At 34.0% G+C, this 12,597-nt stretch overlaps 1 protein-coding gene across 2 annotated transcripts in view; it reads right to left on the bottom strand.

Moving 5' to 3' along the window:
• ZDHHC17 (zDHHC palmitoyltransferase 17) overlaps window positions 1-12,597 on the bottom strand; it is an 89,587-nt gene that overhangs the window by 20,507 nt on the left and 56,483 nt on the right. For both annotated transcript variants that reach the window (NM_015336.4, NM_001359626.1), the window contains exons 8-10: window positions 10,664-10,789; window positions 6,145-6,287; window positions 4,705-4,805 (exon numbers count right to left, since the gene is read on the bottom strand). In NM_015336.4, coding sequence (NP_056151.2) covers window positions 4,705-4,805; window positions 6,145-6,287; window positions 10,664-10,789 — 370 coding nt within the window. The remainder of the gene's footprint in view (window positions 1-4,704; window positions 4,806-6,144; window positions 6,288-10,663; window positions 10,790-12,597) is intronic.

Here is a 12,597-nt window from a genome sequence, read left to right as displayed (position 1 = left end):
CAAAAAGCACCAAATAAACATAAGGTGTTTTATGGGGAAATAATTATTCAAAGAATGGAACAGTAAGAACTTACTAGAACAAACAGTTTACATCAATGTAAAATTCATTATCACCATAAAAACTTATTAAGTAACTTAATAAGCTGGGTATCAGATTATGTAGGAAACCAAAATAAAGTTTATACAGTTGATCCTCACACCTCCATGATAAAATTTATTTGTAACACCAAAATCAATATTCATGGCACTGAAAAAGTGCCATGAATTCAACGGGCATGAACAAAACAGTGAAAAATTTGAGTCACCAAATGTGCACATTCTCAGCTGAGGCTGAGCAAAGCAACATTCTGTCTTGTTTTAGTTCTCAAACTATAAACAAGTGTCCTTTACATGGTCTATTTAGGGCCACGCTGTTGTGCTTTTGTGTAGATTTTGCCGTTTAAAAGGGCCCTTAAGCACAGTGCTGAAGTGCTATCACGCTCTTAAGCACAAGGAGGCTGTGATGTGCTTTACAGAAAAAATACATGTGTTAGATAAGCTTCATTCAGGAATGAGCTATAGTGCTGTTGGCCATAAGTTCAATATTAATGAATCAACAATACATATTAAATAAAGTTTTTTAAAACAGAAACACATGTAAACAAGGTTATGTAGTGATCAACTGATGATCAATACTGTTGTGACCAGAGCCACATAGGAACCTAACTCTGTATTACTCTTAGGAACAATGGTTCAGTATTTTCTAATTCAGTGCTTGCAGCAACTTCACAGAACTACTGTGAATAATGAAAAACAACTATAATTCTAGTTTTCAAAACTAGTCTAATCAGTTTTAATTACATATGTAGCCATGAGTTGCACAAGAAAAGTGGTAAAAGCAACAGAAAGGAGCCTGAGGTCATCAGAAGTGATCCTGGACAACTGCTATTTTATCTTAAGGTACCTGAATCAGCACCATATATTATAAGCCTTGTGGCTATTTCCTGTCTAACATCCTTTGTGCCTCCATTATAACCTACTCTGTGTTCTTTTCTGTTCCCTTCCTAAAGGTTTCTTAAGCTTCTCTTACTGGCTTTATAAAACTGGGAGAAAAACATAGTTCCAAAATCGTAGAGGGCCTAGAGATACAGCTCTTCTATAACATGAAGTATACAGTTTTCCTCGCATAATTGGGATTTAAATTAATTAGTGATTTCATCACATATTCCATGAGTATCATTTACACCTACACAAATGTTCAAACAAACTGTGAGCTAGGCATGGGCTCACACTTGTAATCCCAGCACTTTGGGAGGCTGAGGCAAGAGAACCACTTGAGCCCAGGAGTTTGAGACTAGCCTGGGCAACATGGCAAAACTCAGTCTCTACAAAAATACGCAAATTAGCCAGGCATGGTGGCTTGTGCCTGTAGTCCTAGCTTCTCAGGAGGCTGAGGTGGGAGGATCACCTGAGCCTGGGAGGTTGAGGCAGCAGTGAGCCATGATTGTGCCACTGCACTCCAGTCTGGGTGTGACACAGTGAGACGATGTCTCAAAAAAAACCACAGGCCAGGCACAGTGGCTCACGCCTGTAATCCCAGCACTTTGGAAGACCGAGGCGGGCGGATCACCAGGTCAGGAGTTCAAGACCAGTCTGGCCAACATAGTGAAACCCCGTCTCTACTAAAAATTTAAGAAATTAACCAGGTATGGTGGTGTGCACCTATAATCCCAGCTACTCGGGAGGCTGAGGCAGGAGAATCATGTGAACCTGGAAGGCAGAGGTTGCAGTGAGCCAAGATCATGCCATTGCACTCTAGCCTGGTGGACAGTGCAAGACTCCATCTCAAAATAAAACAAAACAAAACAAAACAAAACCCAACACAAAAACAGACAATAAAAACAAAAAAAAATTGTGAATCCATATTTAAAATCAATTTGGCTATAAACTTAGATTTTAGAAGTCATCAGAAATGATAAGGTGCACTTATTTAGCACTTTTTACATGTCAGGTATGTCCTCAGGTGTTTATTTTCTCAAGAACTTGGAGACAGTGCTACTATTATCTCCCCTTTACAGACACGTAAGAATAAAACTTGGTATTCTCATACTGCAATTTTTATTTGAAAAATTTACATGCAACTTATTCAATGTATTTACAAAATGAAAACTATATCAATCTATTTTAAAGGCAGAAGTATTCAAATAGGGTAAGCTAAATAGACTTGATTGTTCTGGTCTTTCCTTCAAAATTTGCCTCTCTTATTTTCAATTCCCAGTTTTAGCTATTTTATACTATTTCCCTAGCTTTAGCTATTTTATACTAACTCTGAATAAAGGAAAAAAATGAAATTTTACTATATAATGCTCTCTAGCATTAATTTTTCATTATTTGGTAAGTTACTGATTTTCCTGCTTCTTGCCACTTACACATTATAGGAGTACAGAAACAGTTTAACATTTTGAGATCTGATTCTGAGTTTTTTCCTCAAACATAAACTTTAATGTCCAATTTAGGAAACACAAAGTTAGAAAATATGTCTGGAATACTAAAGTCATTTCAGAGGTCAATGCTTATTGTAAGCTTAAAATAGATGAGGTAATGAAAACCAACAGATCTGTTTTACTCATACTAAGTGTTCCAATATGGCAATTCTAATGCTTAATAAATCCTTGAGGAACAATTTTTAAGTCAAAGTATAATAAAAGGCTAGAATTTGTTAGTGAAAACTGCCATATGGAAGAATTTCAATAGATACTTAAACTAAGAAAATATTTAAAGGTACTATACTTTCTGAAATTACATAATGCAGTAAAAATATTAAGAATTAAAAGTGTAGTTACAATTCTGTGCCTTAGGTCTCAAAAATAAAATAAGCACATTTTGTGTTTCAACTAAAACACAAGGGGACTTAATAAAAAGAATACAATATTATGATATGCAAGGCTGTGAAACAAAACCAGGTATTAATAACTAAAATTGTTTAGAACAGTTACAAGTCACCAAAAGCTGCATATCATTTAAAACATATCATATACTTTTTGTAATGTTTTGAAAAATATTTAACACTTATGAAACATGTTCCTTTATTACAATAAATCAGTCTAACTTGCTGACTGAACTTTTTCTATGTAAAATATCAAAAATTGGCATTGGCTTGCTGTCTTTATTGGCACACAGGCACAGTTACAATTTCAATTATATTAGTTTTAAAAAGTATATTAGCCAGTCGTGGTGGTGCACGCCTGTAGTCCCAGCTGCTTGGGAGGCTCAGGCAGACGGATTGCTGGAGCCCAGGAGTTCAAGCTGCAGTGAGCCATGATTGTGCCACTGCACTCCAACCTGGGGAACAGGTTAAAAAAATTAAAATTTTGTTTAAATAGGGTAAGTATACTACACTGTTAATTTGCTCAAGTTAGCAAATATGTGAAAATACAGCATTACATGCTTTTCATGAAGGCAAAAGAGATGAAACACCTTTTCATGAAGGCAAAAGAGGTGAGAAGATTAACTCTTATTTACCACAACAAAATAAGTAGTGGTATTAAAAAAATATTTAGCGAAAATAGTTTGATACCAAAACATAAAAATCACCATTTGGTAGAAAGGCTTAAAATATGCTTAGTTAGAAAAATACAAGTTTCAATCCCAACTTGATTAGAGACTAAGACTCATTAAGCCTAAATTTTTCTCAAGTATAAAATGGAGATGGCTGAGTCAAATGGTAGTTCTTTTTTTTTTTTTTTTTTTTTTTTTTTTTGAGACATAGTCTCACTCTGTCACCCAGGCTGGAGTGCAATGGTGCATCTCAGCTCACTGCAACCTCCGCCTCTCGGGTTAAAACAATTCTACTGCCTCAGCCTCCCGAGTAGCTGGGAATACAGGCACGTGCCACCACACCTGGCTAATTTTTGTATTTTTAGTAGAGATGGGGTTTCACCATATTGGCCAGTCTTGGTTCAAACTCCTGACCTCGTGATCCACTCACCTCGACCTCCCAAAGTGCTGAAATTACAGGTGTGAGACGCAGCGCCCAGCCATTAGTTCTATCTTTAGTTTTTTGAGAAATCGCCATACTGTTTTCCATAGAGGTTGTACTCATTTACATTCCCACCAACAGCGTTCCTTTTTCTCTGCATCCTCGACATCTTATTGCTTTTTGACCTTTTAAAAATAGCTATTCTGACTGGTGTGAAATTGTAGTTTTAATTTGCATTTCTCTGATGATTAGTGATGTCCAACATTTTTTCACGTTTGGCCACTTGTATGTCCTTGGAGAAATGTCTGTCTGTGTCTGTGTCCTTTACCCATTTTTTGAAATGAGGATGCTTGTTCTTTTCTCCATTACACAATATATCCCTACAACAAACCTTCACATGTAACCCCTGAATCTATAAAAATAAAAAATATGGAACAAAAAGGGGGAAAAGGGGGATAACAATACTAATTTATGAAATGTGGATTAAATGAGTAGTCAAAAAATGCCTTTTAAACACTCAATAAATGATAGCTACTATTATTTATATGCTGTTATTAAAGACAGCTTTCAAAAGCAACCTATTAAATATTTAAAAACATTACTTATATTAGTTTACTAAATTTTCTAGGAACACTATTTTAATGTATTATGAATGAGTAGATCAGTCCTAATGTCAAATTATTAAACATCTATTCAAATAACAAACAAAATTTGTTTTTGGTATGATCTTTATAACCAAAGGATATCATTCCAAAACCAGAAGAACCACGTCACATACATCCAGAATTTGGTTGCCAAATATATCCCAAGGGGCAATGCACTATGCATTGAATGATCGAAAAAGGATCTGTAAAACACAAGTTTTATAAAATATGAGCTCTATATTTCATTGTAAAAATGAGTATTTATTTAAATGAAAATGACACACATTTTGTATAGTAAGCATTGGTTTCACCAGAATCCAGAGTTCAGGATGCTCAATTTTTCATAGTAATCAATAAAAATTAGTTCACAGCTGAAAGACTCAGCAAGATTCTGAAGTTCCTTTTAATTCCCCCCAAATTTAAATTACATTCCATATACTTTTCAGTTTCAGAATTTTAGCGCACTCCTATTCTCTTAAAGTCAATAACTGACTTTAGTATATATAGTAGCTATCATCCAGCATACTATTCACCAAAGATGTGTCAAAATTTTGACAAATGAATCCAAACCAAGCCTCACATTTTTCTCTGTTTCATCATTATTTCTCCTTACCTATAACACTCCAGCAAAAGTTGGAGCACATCTTTTCAAGTAGAATGAACTGGCCAACTTAGTGAAACTGAAGAGTTGTGTTTTTAATACTTAAAATTGGGGAAAAACAAACATTAATCCATTTATTAAACATGAACAGAATCAACTATCCATATAGGCAGGAGGTCTTAGTGACTTCCTATTTATACCCCTTGGAGACTCTAGAAATACTAAAATGAGATTCACTAACTAGATTTAAGCCACTCAGCATATTATAATACTAGTCATTCTCATCTCTGTGTGAATTATTTTCAGAATTCTTTTCTGAAATGCAAGTGAAAATAAGATACTAAAGGACTGGAAATTAGATGGGAAATTCTGGATCACACACCTGTCTAGGTTTGTTGGATAGGTAACTTTAGAGCAATGAGACTTAAGAATAAGAAGAAAACGGAATGATCATGATGTTTAAAGAAAAAAGAGGGAGAAAATAATCTTAAAAACTCAGCCGACTTCACAACTATGCTTAGACTTTACCTTGCTACTAGAAATAAAACCTCTTCCTTGCTTATTGTTTATGCCTTATTTTCTACAGGAAAATATAATTCCTATAGAAAGGCGAGCTCAAGTATTGTAATTACCTGGAAATTAACAATATGTATGTTAGAGTTCAACAGACTCAAATTCACTTTTACTGAAATATTTCAAATATTTCTCAAACTATGTTTTAGTGTTAAAAATTATATGCTAGCTTTTATCATTAAAGTGCCTCTGAATCATTTTAATAACATAACAATGTTTAAAAAATCTCATATTTCACATACAGATGTCTAAATTATTTAAATAAATTAAGATCAAATGTACAACATACAAACATTAATTTTATACAAGAGTACAAATTATATTATTTCATGTACAGTTTAAAATATAGTTAAAAACAACACACTTACTTTGAAAGAAACTGTACTGTAGCCCAAACACCACCATACATTAGCCCTTTAATGAGCCAAGAATCAATATTTAGGTCTGCTATAAACCCAACCAGCCAAATAACTAGGAAAGGAGTTCCTAACATTACTTTCTGCCGAAATTCCTGTATAGAAACAAAAAATTAGAAAAGTTTTTGCATGTTTCAAGTAATCTCAATCTGAATCATTGTTACCTTTGTGAAGGCATGCAACAGCGGGTGAAATTCATTCACTCAAATTTGCATGCTATGTATCAGTACTATTCAAGGTGCTGGTGTCTGTCTTCTGGAGACAGGCAATGAACAATTTTAAATAACTTTGCTAAAATTGTGGAAAATAAGAACAGAAGTTATAGCAGTTGGTTCTATATGGTTAAATATAGAAGACAGTACTACCTGCTTAACACATACACTGGCTAGCAAACAGTTCATGAAAAATACCACCCCTTTTTAACAGGGGCACTGATAACCAGGGAGACAAGGACAACTAGAATGACTAATAGTATAAGAATTATAACACATAAGGAAACCTGAAGATGCTTGCCTGGAGTAGACATTTCAAATGATAAATAGTATATTAAAATCTTAAAATGAGATAAAGAATAAAAGCAAACAATCCATAGGCTCCTAGAGTTCACTGAATGAAGAGATGTGTCTCTGAACAAAGATCAAGGCAGAGTGCTCAATACTCCAAAGGTATTTCCATTTCATTTCTGTACTGGTCTGGTTGTTAAAGTCCATACTTGTAAGTATAAAACCTACATAACTCCTGGTAACTTCTATCACAATTTTATCTTTATAGCAACCAAAGAAAGTCTACTGCCTCTTCCATGTAAGAGCCCTTCACAAACTTATAGCCAGTTATCAAGTCTCTGTTCAGTTACCTTAGGTCACAAAACTATGTAAGATATTCAAGGCAGGGCATGGTGGCTCATGCCTTTAATCCCAACACTTTGGGAGGCCTAGACGAGAGAATCGCTTGAGCCCAAGAGTTGTAGGGCAGCCTGGGCAACATGGCAAAAACATGTCTCTACAAAAAATACAAAAATTATCTGGGCATGGTAGCACGCACCTGTACTGTATCCCAGCTACTCGGGAGCCTGAGGTGGGAGGATTACCTGAGCCCAGGGAAGTCAAGGGTCAAGGCTGTCGTGAGCCTGGGCAACAAAATGAAACCCTGTCACACACACCAAAAGAAAAAAGAAAACCCCAGCTGTGGTCTAACAAAGCAGAGTATGAACACTGCTTTCCTTACTGAATATTTATCTTCCTAAAAGCTAAGGTTATATTACACATTTTTAGCACCCCTTTCATACTATCAGCTTCCACTGAAATAAGTGGGATTTTTTTTTTTCATATAAATGACCATGTCTTCCCCAATTTGACCACTGTAATTCATTTTCTGAACTAAATGTGTAATTTTAACTTAGAGTAATAATTAAACATCAATTTCAGGCTTTAATTTTATGCTGCAGCAAAATAACTAATCCAATTCTTTTTTCTAATAAGTATGAACTTTATATCAAGACATTAGAGAAGATTTACTACTCAGGAGACAGAGAGTGTATGGGTACATAAAATGGTACTATAAAAATATAATGGTAATGTGCTGCTATGTGAGAAATCTATTTTCTCTTATATTAGGAAAATTTTCAACTATATAGTAAATGTGAAAGAATTATATAGTGAAGTCTATCCACCACCTAGATTCAGAAGCCTCTTTTTAAATTAAACTTCTTATTTTGGAATAATTATAGATTCACACACAGTTGTAATAAATAATACAGACAGATCCTAAATATCCTTTGTCCCCCAATGGTAACATCTAGCGTATCACAGTAGCATATCACAACAATGGTAACAGTAGCATGTCACAACCAGGAAACTAACCTTGATATAGTCCAGCTACAGAATATTTCCACTACTTAAAAGGATTCCTCATATTGCCCTTTTATAGCCAACTTCCCTCCTACTCCCAAATCCCCTCTAAATACTAATTTAAAGATGTCCCTCCAACTTATTAAGAAGATTTATTTAACCGTAAATATGCCTGTCTAAAATCCTTTTACTTAATATTCTAAGTAAAAAATCTAAGATATTTAAAATCCTTTTACTTAATATTCTAAGTAAAAATCTAAGATTTTTTAAATTGTTTTCTAAAAATATTGTCCCCCTTTCTTTTTTTTTTTTGGAGATAAGGTCTCACTCGGTCACCCAGGCTGGAGTGCAGTGGCATGATCTTGGCTCACTGCAGCCTCAACCTTCCGGGCTCAACCAATCCTCCTGCCTCTGCCTCCCTACTAGCTGGGACTATAGGCGCACCACCACGCCTGGCTAAAGATTCCATCTTTATCTGTCTACCAGCAGTATTCAAAAATATTTTCCCCCTTTTGGAATGATATTTTTATTTTTCTTAAGGGAATGACTTTTTAAAATAAAACACTATTGAGTCTTAGGTGTCACTACTTTCTTTTTTAGTTTTAAATATAAAACACACTTCACAGGCTAGCAAATCAAAACATGTTAATGACTGAAACTTTTCCAATGTGACATGGAAAAAGAAAGAACAGTCTACATAATTACAGATGCTTAATCTCACAGGTCCCCTAATCATCATAATTTTTAAATATATGATGGTTACTTTCAACCTTTAAATATCACTCTCCCAATCATCATAGGCTTTAAAAGGAACCTTTATAAAAATTTTAATATATTTAAAGCTACTAATGAAAAAAAACAGGAAAGAAACTCCATTTCTGAACTGACCACAATCGTATACAAATGTTAAAATTGCACTAAACTTTTAATGAAGTTCTTTTTAAAAAATCATATCCAAACACATAAACCTGATGTATAGTTTAATAATGCCATAAGTAACTTTACATATTAATGCAACATCTAAAATTTGTAAGTCATTTATGACTATATGTGTGTGTGTGAATATACATATATAAAATAAAACTTCAAAATATTCACATTCAACAAAACGAAAGTGCCAATATTGTGGGATTTTCCAAAGTAACACAAGATTTTTTTTTACTAGCCTAATTATCATAAGACAGCCATTTTTCACTCTGTTGAGCAAAACTGCTCTAAATCCTAGAAAACTGAGCAACACAAAATAAATCATTTTCTATATCATATCTAATAATTAAACAGAAGAGTTAACATGGCATGCAAAAATTGTTCATTAGTCTCAGCTTATAGGGCTGAAAACAGCCAAGTTTATAAACTATGAATCTAATTCTTCTAAGTAACGGACCAGGGGACTTTTCAACTGATTAAAGAAGTCCAAACTCCTATAAATAAAGGAGGCACTGCTTTCAAGACTGCTTCTCTTTATCCTAAATTTGTCTTTTTGCCTTGGTAACAGATAGATCAATATTAACTTTAAATAATCAACATTGCCACTAGAACAGCCTAAACACGATATACAAAAGATGGTACTCAAAACTTAATGCTACTCAAGTTGTGATTACTGACAAGTTAGCAGACATCTTGACAATTATTTAGGTACATAAAGAAACTCTACGGCAATTAACTTCTTTTTTGTGGGAAATAAGATTGTGCAGAACCTAGACCCCCTCTCTGGGGGAAAATATTCTAAGTTTTAGTATCATATAATCAGGCAACTGAGCCAACAGTCATACAATTTAAAACTGAAGGTATATGGATGATCTAAAATGAGTTTTCCATAGAAAGGTCAAGAATATAAGCTCTCTGAAAAAAGGTATACAACATATCACAAAAGAATGCAAAGCTCAAGTTAGAGCTGGAGTTGTGAGTAGTTTAAAAAGATATGTATTAGAACTAAGCTATTTCACAATTTATTATCATACTAACAAACAAGCATTCACTAGAAAAACCTTTATTTTTATCTATTACTTAACAAAGGCCAGTTGAATCAATGAACCAAAATGTACACGAGTAGCCGATGGAGATTTAAATAATTTCATATATACCCATCCTTCTTAATTATTAGCCCCAAAAGGTCACCAACCACGTAGGTAAGAGCCCTTGGAAACTTTGTTATTTACCTTCATTTATTCTGAGTATAATAATATTTTAAAAATTACATTGAGAAATGCCAAAATTAAAGGCTGTAAATACTCGTGCTAAGTAAGTGTTCCTAAGAATCCTACTTAAAAAATTATATATCGAAAATCTTCAGCTGGGCGCGGTGGCTCATGCCTGTATTCCCAGCACTTTGGGAGGCCGAGGTGGGAGTATCACCTGAAGTCAGGTGAAGTCATCTGAAGTCACCATGGCCAACACGGTGAAACCCCATCTGTACTAAAAAAAAATACAAATATTAGCTGGGCATGGTGATGGGCACCTGTAATCCCAGCTACTCAGGAGGCTGAGGCACAAGAATCACTTTAAACCGAGAGGCAGGGATTGCAGTGAGCCAAAATCTCGCCACTGCACTCCAGCCTGGGCAACAAGAGCGAAACTCCGTCTCAAAAAAAAAAAAAAAAAAAAATCTTCAGTTATGAGTTTACCTTATCAGCTTTCAGCTTTCTAAGGAAGGACGGATTGTCATATCCTTTTGCTTGCCTTGCCTCTTGTAAGTGGTTGATCATCCACACATTTTTTCTCTGTTTTGCCAAATCAAGCGCTGATTCGCCCTGATAATATAAACAGAAGAAATTCCTATTAAAAGTTTAAAAGCAGGCTATCTTAGTTACCTTTAAAGAACTTCTATAAAAATTAATTTACTGCCCTATTAACGTTGTTTTGACATTGTGTAAATTACTAAAAACACCTGCATCATTACATGTTTCTTATTACGCTTTCCCAAAGAATAATCACAAAATGTATTTTCTCATCATATTCCGTAGATTTTATTTTTGCCTGTATTTTGACATATTAGAGAGCAAATCAAAAAGTAGGTATTTTAGTACCTGCTGGATCAGAGGCTATCACTAAGTTTATCAGTTATTTCATATTCTTTAAAAATTTCATTAGTAATAGTTATTGCTACAAAACACCTTGCTATAATATCAAGTTGCCAGAAATCTCTCAGTTTTATTTCAACAATGATAGGAGTCTTCAGAAGAGAATAGGAAAGAAAAGGAAAAGTCAGTCTCTACTTCTACCACTATTGTACTGGCATTCTTGATTTATATTCATTCACCCACCCAGAAGTTTCCAAAGTAAACGAGAAATGATTTTAAAAAATAGCAAATTCAAGTTATGAATTTGTATCTCCCTTTAATCCTAAGAAAAAGAATGCCAGGGAATTTACATGATAGGAATAAAATGTATCAAAGTAAGAAACAAATAAGCATTCCCAATTTTAGGTCTATGCTTCTTTTTGCCTTAACTAATTTAAAATTTAAAATCTTATTTCTCCTTTTGCAAATTAGTCAGACACCTACATTTCCATTTATTTAATGTGTTCCACTATTTATCTACTTCTTCAAATAGAAAAGCAAAACTTTAAATGCTTACCAAAGTTTCAAGAATGTAAAGATGAATATTCAAAATTACTTTTAAAAAGTAAAACCACTGAAATTTTATTTCCAAAAACAAGGTCAAAAAGAATAAAGCAATAAAGAGCCTTGGGGTGCCTTATTTATGAGGGATGATTACTTATTAAGTATAGTTTATTTAATATTATAAAATAAAAATAAACAACAAAATAAAACACACCACTGCCACCAACAGCAACAACTATTACAAAACAACAAAAAGCCCAACCAATCCTTTAATATAAAGATCAATGGTATTTAATAAGAAATGGGCTAATCTAGGAGTCTTCCACAAATAGGGATATTTACTTTAAAATATTGCCTTACCTATTCCAAAATTCCATCACCTAAGTTGTCAGAACCAGCTAATTAATCCAAACTATAAAGATTACCTGAATAAAAGCAATCCCTTGGGTAACAACTCCCCGGGAATATCCTGCAGTTGCCTCGGTCCAGCTGAGCATCCCTTCCACTAGAGGGCCATGTGACACCTAAGGATTGCCTAGACAAAAAGATTGAGGGAGCTTTAAAATATCTTTCAACTACTCCTCCAGTCATCTAACTATTTTTGTATAGTTCTTTTATTCAGCTGGTAAAATAAACACTCAATTCATTTAAAGAAGTATATTAAAACCAGGGTTCTGAGTTAAGTCTATATCTATTTGATCACTCCATGTCTCAGCCAAAATAATAATATTAACAATAGCAACAACAGCAAGAATCTACATGGAGTAATTATAGACTATGTAACTGTTAATAAAAGAAATCATTCAAAGGTTTTGGTCAGATAAACATTATGGTTGGGGGTAAGATCACTCAACATTTCACCTACGTAAGGTTGAATTTCATCGTCAAATTTTAAAAAAATTTTTCCTTGGTGACCATTTAGGTCAGGTATTTAAGAGGTAATACAAAACTATTTTCTAAAAACAGTTTCTTACCTCATTTCAAGAGGTCTTTCA

The sequence above is a fragment of the Homo sapiens genome, chromosome 12 (genome assembly GCF_000001405.40).
Source record: "Homo sapiens chromosome 12, GRCh38.p14 Primary Assembly".
Lineage (NCBI taxonomy): Eukaryota > Metazoa > Chordata > Mammalia > Primates > Hominidae > Homo > Homo sapiens.
Note: the sequence above shows the minus strand (reverse complement) of the source record. Positions and strands in the feature narration are given on the sequence as shown.